The following is a 16,945-nucleotide window of genomic DNA, read 5'->3' as shown; positions in this document are numbered from 1 at the left end:
CGAGATGAGCCTGGCCAACATGCTGAAACCCCGTCTTTACTAAAAATACAAAAATTAGTCTGGCGTGGTGGCAAGCATCTGTAGTCCCAGCTACTTGGGAGGCTGGGGCAGGAGAATGGTGTGAACCCAAGAGGCAGAGGTTGCAGTCAACTGAGATTGCACCATTGCACTCCAGCATGGGTGACAGAGCGAGACTCCATCTGAAACAAAACAACACAAAACAAAACAAAACAACAACAACAACAACAAAAAACCTAAGTTGGAAAAGGACTGGATAGGGAACAAAGAAAAACCTTTGAAAGCCCTCAAGGTAAATAAATGGAAAAGAAGGAGAGGGAAGAAGGGAAAGGAATAGGGAGGCAAACGTATCCTAAAGATCTCATCCCATTAGGTAGAGAGGAAGTGGGAGCAGTGAACATCTTGGAGTGGGACACAGTGTGGCTTGCTGAGGGAAATGTTCAATATTTTGTTTTCAAATAAGAATGAAGTAATAGGCAGCTGGGCGCGGTGTCTCACACCTATAATCCCAGCACTTTGGGAGGCCAAGATGGGCGGAACACTTAAGGTCAGGAGTTCAAGACCAGCCAGGCCATGATGGTGAAACCCTGTCTCTACCAAAAACACAAGAAATTAGCCCAGTGTGGTGATGGGCACCTGTAGTCCCAGCTACTTAGGAGGCTGAGGCAGGAGAATCGCTTGAACCTGGGAGGCGGAGGTTGCAGTGAGCCGAGATCATGCCACTGCGCTCCAGCCTGGGCAACAAAGTGAGACTCCGGCTCAAAAAAAAAGAATGAAGTAATATGCATCAGATTATGAGAGTGAGGGAAGAAAAAAATGGCCATGAATGGAATAAAAAATCAGAATAAATTTTCAAATGCTCAAAAAAGACAAATGTGGAAGAGGAAAAGGAAGAAATAGGAATGTAAAATATATCATCATAAACATCGAAAAGAAAAATGGAAACAAAAAAGTCAACTACATAAATTATTTCTATAAATTAGAATGATCTAAATCCTCCCACTAAGTAGTCAGCAAGAATAGGAAAATTGAATTAAAAACAAAACCTAGTTACATGATCTTTACACAAATTGCACCTTTAACAAAGTAATAAAGGTTTAAAATAAAGTAGTGGACAAAGAGGAATCAGGCAATGCAAACAAAAAGAAAGTTGGAATGGCAATATTAATATCAGACCATACGGGATTTAATGTATTAAGTAGGATAAAGAATCCTTCCTCTTTTATCACTACATATAATAAAAGACAGACTGTCCAGTGTGGTGGCTCACGCCTGTAATCCCAGCACTTTGGGAGGCCGAGGTGGGCGAATCACAAGGTCAGGAGATCGAGACCATCCTGGCTAACATGATGAAACCCCGTCTCTACCAAAAATACAAAAAATTAGCCGGGCGTGGTGGGGGGTGCCTGTAGTCCCAGCTACTTGGTAGGCTGAAGCAGGAGAATGGCATGAATCCAGGAGGCAGAGCTCGCAGTGAGCCAAGATCGCGCCACTGCACTCCAGCCTGGGCGACAGAGCGAGACTCTGTCCCAAAAAAAAACAAAAAACAAAAAACACAACGACTGTATGAGGAAGCTATAACAGCCACACATGTGCCCAAATGAAACAGATTTTGATTTATATAAACACATATATATGTATAAATATATATATACAAGTATATATATACACATATACATAGATAAGTATATATACACATATACATATATATTTATGCATGTATAAATATATATACATATATAATTTTGCAATTACTTAACTTACCTTTGCCTCAGTTTCCCCATCTCTAAGATGTAATGACAGTAATAACACTTATCTCATAGGGGTGCTGAGGAGATTAAGTGAGTCTTTACATGGAAGTCACCTAGAACAGTGTTCCTTACCTAGAAAGTTCTATAAGCGGGATGTTATTATCATCACTCAATCGCCAAGAAAATGTTGATGCATTAGAACCAATTAGAAAGTTTACCAGCTACAATACTTGAGAATAATCCAAAGACTACATAGGGTACCCATCTAGTGATGGCAGAGGGAACCCCCTCCTCTTTGTTAGGCACCCAAATCCCTCCTAGGAGTCTAGAATCTTGAACCCCCCTCTTAGAGGCGGAAAGTCCCACAGAGTTAGTCTGCATTCTATCCCATGCAAGAATGCTTTCCAATGCATCATGACCGGAAGCCATCTGATCTCTACTTGGACAAGCCCAGGGCTGGGAGGCTCAACATCTCTCAAAGCGCACCCTTCCATCACCAGCTGGTACTTACTTTGTGTTTTATTTTTATTTTATTTTAATTTATTTTATTTTATTTTATTGAGATGGAGTCTCACTCTGTTGTTCAGGCTGGAGTGCAGTGGCATGATCTTGGCTCACTGCAAACTCTGCCTCCTGGTTTCAAGCAATTCTCCTGCCTCAGCCTCCCGAGTAGCTGGGATTACAGGCACTCCACATAGCGAGACCCCTGTCTCTACAAAAATCAATTTTTAAAAAATGAGCCAGGCGTGGTAGCACACACCTGTAGTCCCAGCTATTTGGGAGGCTGAGGCGGGAGGAGCACTTGAGCCCCAGAGTTCGAGGCTGTAGTGAGCTATTATCACACCACTTCATTCCAGCCTGGGAGACATAGGGAGACCCTGTCCTTATTAAAAGATAAAAATAAAATAAAGAAAGAAAGAAGATTGTGCAGGTGTTGCCTCCTCCCTGAACCTCGCAGCCTTCCTGCAGACTTGGGCTCCTCCCAGGCCCCTGGTGGTAGCCCTGCTCAAGGGTGCTGTGCTGCTTACTCTGTCCCCACCCCCAAGCTCCTAGAAGTTGAGGGCTAAGTCTCACAGGTCACGCTCCCCAACTTCCCAGTGAGGGCTCATTAGCTGTTTGTTTATTGCTGTTTCTCTACCTGAACATCAGCTCCACCTGAGCAGAGCCTTTCATAGCTGAAACCCCAGCACCTAGAACAGAGATCAGCAAATGATTCATAATTTGCTGTGTCCCACCATGCCCAGCTTTTTGTATTTTTAGTGGAGACGGGGTTTCACCATGTTGGCCAGGCTGGTCTCAAACTCCTGACCTCAGGTGATCTGCCCACCTCAGCCTCCCAAAGTGCTGGGATTACAGGCGTGAGCCACCACGCATGGCCTGGTGCTTACTTCAGAATGTTTTTCTTTATATTGAAGTGCAGTTGACTTCCCAGAACTATCATCTTCTTCCCTGGAGCTTCTATCATCATTCACTTATTCATCCACCCATCTAGTCATCCATCCATCCACCCAATCATTCAATCATCCAATTATTCAGTAGCTAGGAATTGGCATTTACTACATGTTAGGCACTGTGCCAGGAGCTCGGGATACAATGGTAAGCACATTCAGACAGGGTCTCTGCCTTTAGGGGCTCAGTCTGGCTACCCCAACAGTCACTGAATAATACAATATCCTGCTTGATTAGTGCTAGAAAGAAAATGAAGAGTGCTATGAGACCATACAACATGGGGGCTTCCCCTGGTCTGAAACTATCGGGAGGGGCTTCCCAGAGGAAATGACTCTTACTTGCTGAAAGACAGAGGATGGCCTGGAGCTGACAGGTGCAAGGCAGCAGCACTTTCTACCCTGTGACCTCCGCATCCTTCTCTCTTCTGGACTGAACCTCCTTTTGCTCCTCCTGCCGCCACTCTTTCCAAGGGCCTGTGAAATGCTCAAGGAGGATGAGACCCTCCACACACAGTCTGATTTCCTTTCCAATGAAAGCCAAGCCTGCATCTGATTTTTTGGCAGCCACATTCGCTCGTTTGTGTTGAAATCGTGACACTATGTCTATATTTTCCATTGGACCAGAAATATCATCTAAGAAAAGAAATAAGTAAGAAAATGCATGCAGTTAAGCAAGACCCTCATAGTGGCCCCAGAATGGATCTTGAGGATCACTGGTCTTTTTCCTGAGGGACTTGCCCTCTGCCTATTGATCTAAGATTGTCACCAACACCAGGGCAGAGCTGAGTTCCCGGGTCAAACCTGTCTTTCCAGCTAGAATTCCAGAGGAAACCCCAGTCCCTGTTGGGGCTGAAGGTGCTTCCTTTTGGCGTCGGGGCCTCTCGACACTAATAATTAGCGTCTTGCTTCTTTGAGGAACCCACAGGAATGGCCAGGGCTTTGCAAACTGCTTCTCTCAACATCCCCCAGCTCCTCCCAGAGAGTCGACTGGGATTCTTATCTTACTGATGAGGAAAGCAGAACTCAGAAAGGTGAAGGTGACAGAGCTGAGACCTCAAGCCAAGCCCTCCAGAGCCAACACCATTTCCATGATACACACACCTCACTTGAATTACATTATTATGGGGCAACTCACTGAATGTCTAAAGAGCTACCACCTACTGAACACCTATCACGTGCTCTCTCTACCTTGCCCATTTATTCCCTCTCTACTTAGTGTCCCAAAGACACCTCAAATGTAGCATGTCCATAAGAGAACTGTAACATGTCATTGGTTTTGTGTCCCCACCCTGCTCTTCCCTTTGGCTTCCCAATCTTGGGAAATGGTGCAACCATTCACCCATAGACTCAGGCGCCAATGCTCGGAGTCAACCTGAAAGGAGGCAGAGAGAGAGGAAGAACAAAAAAACACAGATGGATGGATGGACAGATGGATGGATGGATGGAAGGATAGATGGATGGATGGATGATGAATAAGTGTGGATGGGTGGATGGATGCATGGTGGATAAATAAGTGAATGATGATAGAAGCTCCAGGGAAGAGGATGATGGTTCTGGGAAGTTAACTGCACTTCAATATAAAGAAGAGCATTCCTTGGATAAGGATAGACTGAGTAGAAAAAAGAAGAAAGAGGAAGAAGAAGAAGAAGAAGAAGAAGAAGAAGAAGAAGAAGAAGAAGAAGAAGGAGGAGGAGGAGGAGGGGGAAGGGGAGGGTGGGAAGGGGGAAGGGAGGGGGAGGGAGAGGGGGAGAAGGAGAGGAGAAGGAGAAGGAGACACATTCTAAATGCACCAGGCTGGGCGTGGTGTCTCATGCCTGTAATCCCAGCACTTTGGGAGGCAAAGGCAGGCAGATAACCTGAGCTCAGGAGTTTGAGACCAACTGGGCCAACATGGTGAAACACTGTCTCTACTAAAAAATACAAAAATTAGCCAGGTGTGGTGGCATGTGCACCTGTAGTCCCAGCTAATCAGGAGGCTGAGGCAGGAGAATCACTTGAACCCAGGAAATGGAGGTTGCAGTGACCCATGATCTAGCCACTGCACTCCAGCCTTGGCAACAGAGTGAGATTCCATCTCAAAAACAAAAACAAAAACAGCAGAGGAGAGAGGAAGAGAGGAAGGAAGAGAAAGAGAGGAGAGAGGGAAGAGGGATAGTGGAGGGAAGGCTAGAGGAAGGAAGAGAGGAAGGAAGAATGAAGGAGGAGAAGAGAGAAAGAAAATGAGGAAAAAAATAAGGAAAGGGAGGCTGGGCATGGTGACTCACACTGGTAATCCCATCACTTTGGGAGGCTGAGGCAGGCAGATCACGAGGTCAGGAGTTCGAGACCAGCCTGGCCAACATGATGAAACCCCGTCTCTACTAAAAATACAAAAAATAGCTGGGCATGGTTGCAAGCGCCTATAATCCCAGCTACTTGGGAGGCTGAGTCAGGAGAATCGTTTGAACCCGGGAGGCGGAGGTTGCAGTGAGCCGAGATCGCACCATTGCACTCCAGCCTGGGTGACAGGGCAAGACTCCATCTCAAAAAAAAGATAAAAAGGAAGAAAAGGGAGAGAAAAGGGAAGGGGAGGGAATAGGGAGGGAGGGAAGAGGAAGAAAGGAAAGGAGAAAGAGGGAAGGAAGAAGGGAGAAAAAAGGATGGAGGAGAAAAAGAAGTGAGGAACAAACAAGGGGGCTTTGACTGTAGGAAAACACAGGTAAAGGCTCATGTGTATAATACTTTTTAGCCTGTGTAAGTCAATATCCTAAAATAACACTTTGTGCCTTGTTTTAAATAGCACCAGATTCACTGTCATTCACAGAGTCACAAAACCATTAACTTCCCTAAAACAACCAATTTCAGAACAGGAATTTGGGCCACCCTGCAATGGTGTCAAATTTCCCCAAAAGCAAGATGAACTAGATCCAGTCCCTGAGCCTAAGAAGTCTAAAATCTCTTCTGGATGATAAGGCTAATATTCAACAGTCATAATACAAGGCAGAAACAGACAAGGACCAAAAGAGCTTTACAGAAGGAGGGCCATGGTGGCCCATGGAAGTGAGGAGTAATTCCTGCCAGGCATTTGTGAAGAAGGTGGCATCTGGCCAGGACCTTTGAAAGAAGTGCAGAAAGGAGGCCTAGTGTGTGCTGGGCAGCCACCTCATCAATCACTGGATCCTATCCAGTGTGAGATCCCCATTCTACAGATGCCGACACCAGGGTTCAGGGTAAGGAAGGCAATCAAGCAACTTGCCCGAGGTCATGCATGCAAGGAACACGGAAGCCCCACTCTAATGGAGATTTAAATTCAGGTCTAATATGAGAATCCAAGTGGCAATGTGTGATGTGTCTGGACCACGTGGTGTGAAATGCAGTCGGCTTCTCCTGGGAAGGTTACTCAGACAGAAGCTTTCTTCACAAGCATGCTCCCCACGGCCTCCTCCCTTTCACCTGCACCATGTCTGTCTCCCATTCAAGACTGGCAACCCCAGCCAGGCACAGTGGCTCATGCCTGTGATCCTATCATTTTGGGAGGCCAAGGCAGGAGGATCCCTTGAGGCCAGGAGTTTGAGAACAGGAGACAACACAACGAGGCTCTATCTGTACAAAATATAACAAAACTTAGCCAGGCAAGGCCATGTGTACCTATAGTTCCAGCTATTCAGGAGGCTGAAGTGGGAGGATTGCTTGAGACCAGGAGGAAGAGGCTGTAGTGAGCTGTGACTGTGCCACTGCACTCCAGCCTGGGAGATAGAGCAACATTGTCTCAAAAAAAAAAAAAAAAAAAAAAAAAAAAAAAAAAAAAAAGATGTGGCAGCCCCTTGAGAAAGGAAGAGCTCCTATCTTGACGATTTCAGCCAATGCCCGTGAGTACCAGCAGGAGCCTCTATCCCTCTCTGCCCCACCCTGCATCCACGCATTCATTACATCATTCATCCCCCCTCATTTTCTCAACACCCACTTGTGCCAGGCCCTGAGGTGGCTCTAGGACCGAGAGACAGGGATCACAGAGCTCCCCAGTGGAGTGGAGGGTACAGACATGTCGACAAGAACACTGGAACCCAGTGCGGGCTGGGAGCGTGCGGTCAGACCTGCAAAGCGGGGAAGAGAAGGGGGTCGGAGAAGCTTCGCGGGGAGAATGGGGTGAGGCCTGAGGCCTGTCTCGGAAAGCAGAGGGGCAGGTGGGAGAGTGGAAAAGACATTCCTGGAGGAGGGAACCAAAGGTGCTGAATGTGCAGAGGCAGAGATCCTGCGACAGGAGAGAAAGTCCTCGAGAATGACCCCAGCATAGGATGAGAACAAAGAAGGGGATCAAAGGAAACGGGCCCTCGGTGGCCGGGTGCTAGAAGGCTCTGAGTGTCAGGAGAGGGAGCGTGACCTCCCTCATGGGGTCAGTAGGGCCACTGTATGGCTTTAAGCCAGGGAAGGACAGGAGAGGTTTCTGTAACTGTGGCTGTAATGATGGAAGCGTCTGGAGGCGGAGAGGAGGCTCCTGCGACGACCCAGGCTTCAGAGAGAGAGAGAGAGAGGAAAGAAGGAAGGGCAGATAGGAAAGCTAGGAAAGATGCACAGAGAGACCAAGGCAGAAAAGGCTGAAGGGAAGACGGCAGTGGTAGGAAGGGGGCAGAGCCGTCTCAGGATGCAGCCAGCGGGCGAGGAGGCAGAGACCCGCTTGCCCGGTGCCTGGACTCACCAGCCGGTGCAGCCAGCCGGCGCCGGCGTGCGTGTCCTTGAGGCGGAAGAGGCGGCGGTTCGCGGAGCTGCGGCCCACGTACCACAGCATCTGCAGCAGCATGAGCGCCGTCAGGAAGCACAGCAGGTCGCTCTTGCTCACGCCCGCGGCGTGCACGGCCCAGGCCAGCAGCAGCAGCAGCCCCGCCACGAACACGATCAGCCCATACTGGCTGCTCAGCATCTCGGCCAGCCTCTGTGGGACGCTGGCGCGCACACCGCCCCTCCGGGGGGCCGGGGACTCCGGGCACCTCGGGGCCGACGGCGAGGGAGGCGGGCAGGCCGCGGGCCCCGATGACCTCGCGACTGAGGCGCTCGCAGCTGCCCGGGGCCAGGCGGGCGACCCCAGGCCCTCAAGCATCTTCAAGACACCCGCGCCAAGTCTGGCCCCGGGGGTGGCTGCCGTCGGGCCCCGCCTGCGCTCCTGGCTCCTGTCCTTGCCCCGACGCCTCTGCCAACCAGCACCCCCCTTTTCAACTCCCCTCCGATTCCTACCCCACGCCCCCAACAACCTGCCCCGTCTCCTGTCACTTCCCGACGCCCGCCCTCCCCTCTTCTGCCCCTTCGTCCTCAGTCAAGGTACCACCCTGTCCACTTACCCAGCGCCCCACCCCGCTGACCCGGGATTCTACGAGCTCCCTTGCCCACTGCCCCTCACTGGGCAACGCCCGGGGCAGCCATCTGTCCCCTCCGGGACCCACGCGGACCGCTCCCGGCTCCTGATCCCTGGGACACTGGCCAGCCCTGCCCCGACACTAGCGCGTCCTCCCGCACCTCCGCCCGCGCGCCCGGCCCCCGCCCACCGTCTGCAGCCCTCACTCCTGCGCCGACGCCCACCCACCCAGCCCCTGTCCCGGCGCCTCAGAAACGCTGGGTGACGAGAGATGCCTCCCAGAGTCCCGGGGTTGCGGGGCTGGGGAGAGGGGGTCTTCCAGAGCCAGCCCGAAGTGGGGTGTGCGCGGGGGGCGTGGCTGCTGCCAAGTGGGGCGCACGGGGCTCCACAGGGGCGTGCTATGCTCCGGGCCTTCCCCGAGGGTCTCCGTTGGGGAACCCAGAGGTCCAGGTGATCCTGCCTGGGTCCGTGTCCGAGCGTCCGATGGTCTGTCCTTGTCCCTGCGTATTTCTGTATTGTCTTCTCTGTGCCGGTCACTCTGTGTCTGGCCGTCTGTTTTCGGGTGTGTCTGGTTAGGGGTGGAGGAGCGCCAGTCACTGGCTCTCTGAATTGGGGGAGGGGCCGCCTTCTGTGGGTTTTTCTGTTTGTCCATCTGGTGTGCCTGTGTGTCGGCTGCGAGACGCCCAGGCGCAGAATAAGACCTGAGCCACTTTCTAAGAAAAGAGACCATCCCGCACCCTCCCCCAAAGGAGCGGCAGCCATTCTGGACGCAGAGGAGCTGGAATGAGGGAGGCCCCAGGGTCTGCCCTGGGGCAACCGGCGCCCAAGCATCTCCACCAGCCCCTTCCAAAGCCCCGGTGCCTGCCTTGCACCTGCCTGCTCCCGGAAGGAGACTGCGTCTGCCAGGGCGCCCTGCTCGGGTGCCATTAAGTGGAGGTCTGGGAAGTTTCTGCAGAAGAGCGTTCTACCGGTCGGGCGTGGCTGACAGGAGGCGGTGGACCCCAGCCCCCCAGCTGCAGGTTGGAGAGGGGAGTTGGGAGCGAGCCTGGGGCGAGCCCCCATCCCACCATGCAGCAGCCCGGGGCTGGGCCCCGGAAGACACCCTCTCCCTCTTGGTTTAAGGCTCTTGCAGTCTTGAAATTCTTAATTTTTGAACAAGAGGGCCCAGGTTTTTGTTTTGCGCTAAGCGCAGCAAATTGCAATAGCAGGTCCTGACTAGTAAAGGAGGGGTGGGGAGTCCTGGGCCGGCAAGAAGTCAACCTGGGGGACCTTGCCTTGCCGCCATCATTCTTCCAATTCATGCATTCATTCATTTGATCAACACACATGTATGTGTTGACCTATGAATCATTTGCTGGTCTCTGTTGTAGGCGCTGGGGTTTCAGCTATGAAAGGCTCTGTTCAGGTGGAGCTGATGTTCAGGTAGAGAAACAGCAATAAACAAACAGCTAATGAGCCTTGACTGGGAAGCTGGGGAGCGTGACCTGTGAGACTTAGCCCTCAACTTCTAAGAGCTTGGGGGTGGGGACAGAGTAAGCAGCACAGCACCCTTGAGCAGGGCTACCACCAGGGGCCTGGGAGGAGCCCAGGTCTGCAGGAAGGCTGCGAGGTTCAGGGAGGAGGCAACACCTGCACAGTCTTCTTTCTTTCTTTATTTTATTTTTATCTTTTAATAAGGACAGGGCCTCCCTATGTCTCCCAGGCTGGAATGAAGTGGTGTGATAATAGCTCACTACAGCCTCGAACTCTGGGGCTCAAGTGCTCCTCCCACCTCAGCCTCCCAAATAGCTGGGACTACAGGTGTGTGCTACCACGCCTGGCTCAGTTTTTTAAAATTGTTTTTTGTAGAGACAGGGGTCTCGCTGTGTTTCTCAGGTTGATCTCAAACTCCTGGGCTCAAGCCATCCTCCTACCTCAGCCTCCCAAAGCACTGGGATTACAGGCTCCAGCTACCACGTCCAGCCTCCTGCACATTCTTTAGGCTTAGGAGTGGATGGCCAGGTGGAAGGGAGCAGGGGTCTGGAAAGGCAGTCCAGAGAGAGGATCCAGCAAACCTACTGGGAATCCTCCACCTTCTCCCCTCCTCTTCCTACCAACAGCCAGAGCAACCTGGGAGGCTGAGCTGAAGATGGAAGAGCCTGTCTGCGTGTCTCCCCAGTGACTAGTGAGGTGGCTTTTCCTCCCGAAGCTGGACCTTACATCAGTGAGAAATAAACTTCCATTGTGCTAAGCCACCAAAGTCTGAAATGTTACAGCAGCTAGCAGTACCTTAACCCATTGAGTACAAAGATAAATAACACTCAGTCACTATCTGAAAATCAAGTGGAATGCCTGTCTCTGGGCTACCTGCACTTTTGTTTGTTTGTTTGTTTGTTTGTTTGTTTGTTTGTTTGTTTGTTTGTTTTTGAGATGCAGTCTCACTCTGTTACCCAGGCTGGAGTGCAGTGGCACAATCATCTCAGCTCACTGTAACCTCTGCCTCCTGAGTTCAAGCGATTCTCCTGCCTCAGCCTCCCGAGTAGCTGGGATTACAGGCGCCTGCCACCATGCCCGGCTAATTTCTGTATTTTTAGTAGAGATGTGGTTTCACCATGTTGGTTAGGCTGGTCTCAACTCCTGACCTGGTGATCCACCCCTTGGCCTCCCAAAGTGCTGGGATTACAGGCATGAGCCACCACACCTGGCCTGCATTTTTTTAAGAAGCAATGAAATGAAAGTTTCTGGAGGCTAAAGTCAGCCCCCTTTATTGTAATCTCAAGACAATGTTAAAACTCACTGAGAGCCTGTAATCCCAGCACTTTGGGAGGTCGAGGCAGATCACTTGAGGTCAGGAGTTCGAGACTAGCCTGGCCAACATGGTGAAACCCCGTCTCTACTAAAAATACAAAAAATAGCTGGTGTGGTGGTGCACACCTGTAATCCCAGCTACTTGGGAGGCTGAGGCAGGAGAATCTCTTGAACCCAGGAGGCAGAGGTTGCAGTGAGCCAAGATTGTGCCACCGGACTCCAACCTGGATGACAGAGACTCCATCTCAATAAATACATAAATAAAACTGAGAGATTTACCCACACTGTGTTCTGCCTTCCACCAGTGAGATTTTTTTCAAAAGTCTGAGCCACACGGGGCCCCCAATTTCTTACGACTGACCCCTGCTCCATGATGGGAAGATACAAGGGGTCAGAAATGGTGCTCTGGTGGTGCCCAGGCCTGCTGTTTTCACCACATTTGGTGCATGTTACCCCTGCCCACACTGTGTCCTGAGAACTGTGTGGCATGGCTCAATCAGTGTAAAAGCTGGAAACGTCCTGACCAGGCAGCTGCTTCCCAGTGATGATTCAGTACCACGCAGATGGACAGGGAGGCATGGTGCCCTCGGGCATGGGCTCCCTTCCTTTTTTTCTTTTTTTTTTTTTAATATTTTAAGTTCTAGGGTACATGTGCACAACATGCAGGTTTGTTACATATGTATATATGTGCCATGGTGGTGTGCTGCACCCATTAATTCGTCATCTACATTAGGTATTTCTTTTAATGCTATCCCTCCCCCTTCCCCCCACCCCATGACAGGCCCCGGTGTGTGATGTTCCCCATCCTGTGTCCAAGTGTTCTCATTGTTCAATTCCCACCTATGAGTGAGAACATGCAGTGTTTGGTTTTCTGTCCTTGCGACAGTTTGCTCAGAATTATGGTTTCCAGTTTCATCCATGTCCCTACAAACGACATGAACTCATCCTTTTTATGGCTGCATAGTATTCCATGGTGTACATGTGCCATATTTTCTTAATCCAGTCTATCATTGATGGACATTTGGGTTGGTTCCAAGTCTTTGCTATTGTGAATAGTGCCGCCATAATCATACATGTGTATGTGTCTTTATAGTAGAATTATTTATAGTCCTTTGGGCATATACCCAGTAATGGGATCGCTGGGTCAAATGGTATTTCTAGTTCTAGATCCTTGAGGAATCACCACACGGTTTTCGACAATGGTTGAACTAGTTTACACTCCCACCAACAGTGTAAAAGCATTCCTATTTCTCCACATCTTCTCCAGCACCTGTTGTTTCCTTTTTAATGATCACATGAGCTCCCTTCTTCCAGTGAAGTTGACAGGATTTCACAAGGCCAGAGGCCCACTGGCACTCTCAACTACCAGAGATAATAGAAGGTCCCAAGGGGCAATTAGCACATTTTGCCCCCAGTCACCTTTGGTGGTAGCTATGTAATCCCAGTATTTTTAAGAACAAAAGAGTTAGACAGTGTATTCACTTCTTTTTTTTTTTTTTTTTTTTTTTTTTTTTTGAGACAGAATCTTACTCTTATCACCCAGGCGGGAGTGCAGTGGTGTGATCTTGGCTCACTGCAACCTCTGTCTCCTGGGTTCCAGTGATTCTCCTGATTCAGTCTCCCGAGTAGCTGGGATTACAGGCACACACCACCATGCCTGGATAATTTTTTGTATTGTTAGTAGAGATGGGATTTCACCATGTTGGCCAGGTTGGTCTTGAGCTCCTGACCTCATGATCCACCCACCTCGGCCTCCCAAAGTGCTGGGATTACAGGCATGAGTCACTGTGCACAGCCAAGTGGGTGGGTCTAACAAAGTGCCACTGACGGGGTGGCTTCAAAACAATGAAAATTTATTCTCTCACAGTTTGGGAGGCCAGAAGTCCAAAATCTAGACGTCAGAAGAGCCAAGTTCCCTCTGAAGGCTCCAATGGGGGGTCATCGCCAGCCTCTTCCAGTTTCTGCTGGTTGCTGGCAACCCCTAGCATTCCTTGGCTTGTGGCTGTATCACTCCAATCTTTGCCTCTGTTGTGACTTGACCATCTTTCCTTTGTATCTGTGTCTCTTTTCCTCTTCTTATAAAGACACCAGTCATAATGGGTTAAGGGCCCAACCTACTCCAGTATGACTTCATTGTAATTTACATCTTAATTAAATCTACAAAGACTCCATTTCCAAATAGGGCCACAATCAGAGGAACCAGGGGTTAAGATTTCAACAGATCTTCTGGTGAGCAAAAATTTAATCTATAACACACAAATGATAGTCAAGATATGGAATTAACCTGTGCATCCATCAATGGATGAATGAATGGACAAAGAAAATGTGTGTATGTATACACATTGTATACATACACAACAGAATATTATTCAACCTTAAAAAGAAGGAAATGGCCGGGCACAATGGCTCACGCTTGTAAACCCAACACTTTGGGAGGCCATGGTGGGTGGACTGCTTGTGCCCAGGAGTTCAAGACCAACTGGGCAACATGGCAAAACCTCAACTCTACAAAAAAATAAAAATAAAAAGGCTGAGTGTGGTGGCTCATGCCTGTAATCCCAGCACTTTGGGAGGCTGAGGCAGTTGGATCACCTGAGGTCAGGAATTTGAGACCAGCCTGACCAACATGGAGAAACCCCTTCTCTACTAAAAATGCCTGTAATCTCAACTACTCAGGAGGCTGAGGCAGGATAATCACTTGAACCCAGGAGGCAGAGGTTGTGGGTGAGACAAGATCACACCATTGCACTCCAGCCTGGGCAACAAGAGTGAAACTCTCTCTCAAAAAAAAAAAAAAATCAGCTAAACCCAGTGGTGTGCACCTGTAGTCCCAGCTACTTGGGAGGCTGAGGTAGGAGGATCATTTGAGCCTGGGAGGTCCAGGTTTCAGTGAGCTGAGATTGTGCCACTGCACTCCAGCCTTGGTGACAGAGCCAGACCCTGTCTCAAAAAAGAAAAAAAAGGAAATCCTGACATTTGTAACAGTATGGATATGAACCTGGAAGATACTATGTTAAGTGACATAAGCCAAGCACAGAAAGACAAATGTCACATGATCTCATTTATATGTAGATCTAAAAAAGCTGAGGTCATATAGGTAGAGAGTAGAAGAGTGGCTACCAGGGGCTGGGCAGCAGGTGGAATTTGTGGGTTGGGAGATGTTGGTCAAAGGGTACAAAATTTCATTTAAGTAAGAAGAGTAAGTTCAAGAGATCTATTGTACAGCTTAGTAATTATAGTTAATAACAATTTATAGCATTTTAAAAATTGTGAAGAGTAGATTTTAAGAAATCTCACCACAAAAAATAAGTATGCAAAGTAATGCATATATTAATGAACTCCATCTAGCCATTCCACATGTACCCTTGGACTTCAAAACTTGGAAAAAATGAATTGAAAATATAAACTTTATGTCTCAACATAAGCTCCATCAAGTTCAAGACACTTGTATAAGTCATGCTACAGCCATTTAGCCCATCCTTAAGGAACTGAAGGTCCTGAGAATTTAACCATATCAATGCAGTCTTTTACACATTAACTGAAAAGGGTATCCTTTACAGATTAAGATTACGAAACAAAAAGAAGTTAGGAGGAGCCAAATCAGGACTGTAATGATTTCCCATCAAAATTCTCCCAAAATTGCCCTTGATGACAGGAATAACCAGAAGCATTGTCATGGTGGAGGAGGACTCTGCTGAAATTTTCCCAAGAATTTTCTGCTAAAGCTTTGGGTAACTTTCTCAAAACCCTCTCATAATAAGCAGATGTTACCATTCTTTGGTCCTCCTGAAAGTCAACAAGGGAAGTGCCTTGAGCCCCAAAATACTGTTGCTATGAGTTGTGCTCTTGACTGGTCTGCTTTTGCTTTGACTGACCCACTTCCACTTCTTGGTAGCCATTGCTTTGATTGTGCTTTGTCTTCAGGATAGTACTACGAAATCCATGTTTCATAACTTGTTGCAACTTTTCGAACAAATGCTTCAGGATCTTGATCCCACTGTTTAAATTTCCATTGAAAGCTCTGCTGTTGTTTGCAACTGATCTGGGCACAACAGTTTTGGCACCCATCAAGTGCAAAGTTGGCTTTCAGTCAGAATTGTGTAACCTGAACCAATTTGACGTCTATGACACTGTCTATTGTTTCTGCTATTGTTAACTGCTATTAATCATCAGTCCTCTTTGATTAGGGCATAAACAAGATGAATTTTTTCCTCAAAGATTCGTGTGTAGGGTCTCTTACTGAGGGCTTCCTCTTCAACATCATCTCATACCTTCTTAAAACAAGTTATTCATTTGTAAGCTGTTGATTTCTTTGGGGCATTGTTCCCATAAACTTTTCATGAAGCATTAGTGATTTTACCATTTTTCACCCAAGCTTCATAATAAATTGATGTTTGTTCTTGCTTCGATTTTAGCAGAATTAATGTTGCACTGATGTGGTCTCTTTTCAAACTGATGTCTTATCCTTCTTAGTGTCTCAAACTAGATCCTGTTCAGACATGTTATGACAAGTTAAAGACTCTGTCTCAAAAAGTCTTTTTTTAAGTAATAGGACAATCTTCATACCATCCTAATTGGCCAGTTATTAGCTCTTGGGAAACTGGGTTTTAACTAATTGTTTTAAACACATGCCAGCCTTAGATTTCTATCCATGTTGTAAACATACTCTTCAAGAAAAAAAAAAAAGATATAAAATGTGTGAAGGCTGACACTGGGGCACTCTCCACCCAAGCTCCCTCCAGGGAGTGTGATCCAAATGCCCTCCCTTCCCGGGCTGCTGCCTCGGTTGTGCCGGACCCTCACATCACTGCCTGATTCATCACTGCCTGATTCGGCTGCCTGATTGTGGCCTTTGCCTGGCCTTGCTCCCTATTTTAAATGACACTCTCGCCACACCTTCACATACCCATGACAACAAACTGGGTTTACTTCTGTCTACTCATCATGCCTGACTTTCCCCTTTGCAAACATCATGACGGGATGTGATATTCCTGATCCTAGATTCTGCTTTCCCTTTCTTTCCCTCTCCATTACCATTTATTGAGTGGACACCTACTGTGTCAGGCACTGTAATTGGTGTTTTACAAACATTATTACTATTACCCACAACCCTACAAGACAGATATTGTTCCCACTTCACAGCTGAAAAAAGATTACAGGCTGACTACCCCTTCTCTGAAATGCTTGGGACCAGAAGTGTTTTGGATTTTGGAATACTTGCATTGTATTCCAAAACCCGAAATGCTCCAATGAGCATTTCCTTTGAGTGCCATATCAGCAATCAAAAAGTTTCAGATTTTGAAATTAGGGATACTAAACCTGTACTACTGAAGGTCTTGCAGCTAGTAAATGGCAGGGTATGATCTGAACCAGACACAAGTGGTGATTAAGTCAAATCATTACTAGAAGTCACCTTACAGAGAAAACAATCAACATGAGGTACATTCTGTCACAATGCTTATGCTGTTTAGATTTAATGTAGATATATTTGCATTTGAAAGTGCAAATACTGTCTTTATAAAGTCTTTGAAGAACAGAGTTAGCCCTTGTTATTTCTATGGTTAATTCAAAGTGCTAATAGCTAAAAACCAGAAGTCATTCCAAAGTTTGCATGA

At 48.0% G+C, this 16,945-nt stretch overlaps 1 pseudogene; it reads right to left on the bottom strand.

Annotated features, from left to right (window-relative positions):
- LOC100996731 (proton channel OTOP1-like) overlaps positions 1-9,195 on the bottom strand; it is a 34,022-nt pseudogene extending 24,827 nt beyond the window's left edge.
- Between the last annotated feature and the right edge of the window lie 7,750 nt (positions 9,196-16,945).

This window comes from Homo sapiens, chromosome 1 (genome assembly GCF_000001405.40).
Source record: "Homo sapiens chromosome 1, GRCh38.p14 Primary Assembly".
Taxonomy (NCBI): domain Eukaryota; kingdom Metazoa; phylum Chordata; class Mammalia; order Primates; family Hominidae; genus Homo; species Homo sapiens.
This window is presented reverse-complemented; position numbering and strand designations above follow the sequence as displayed.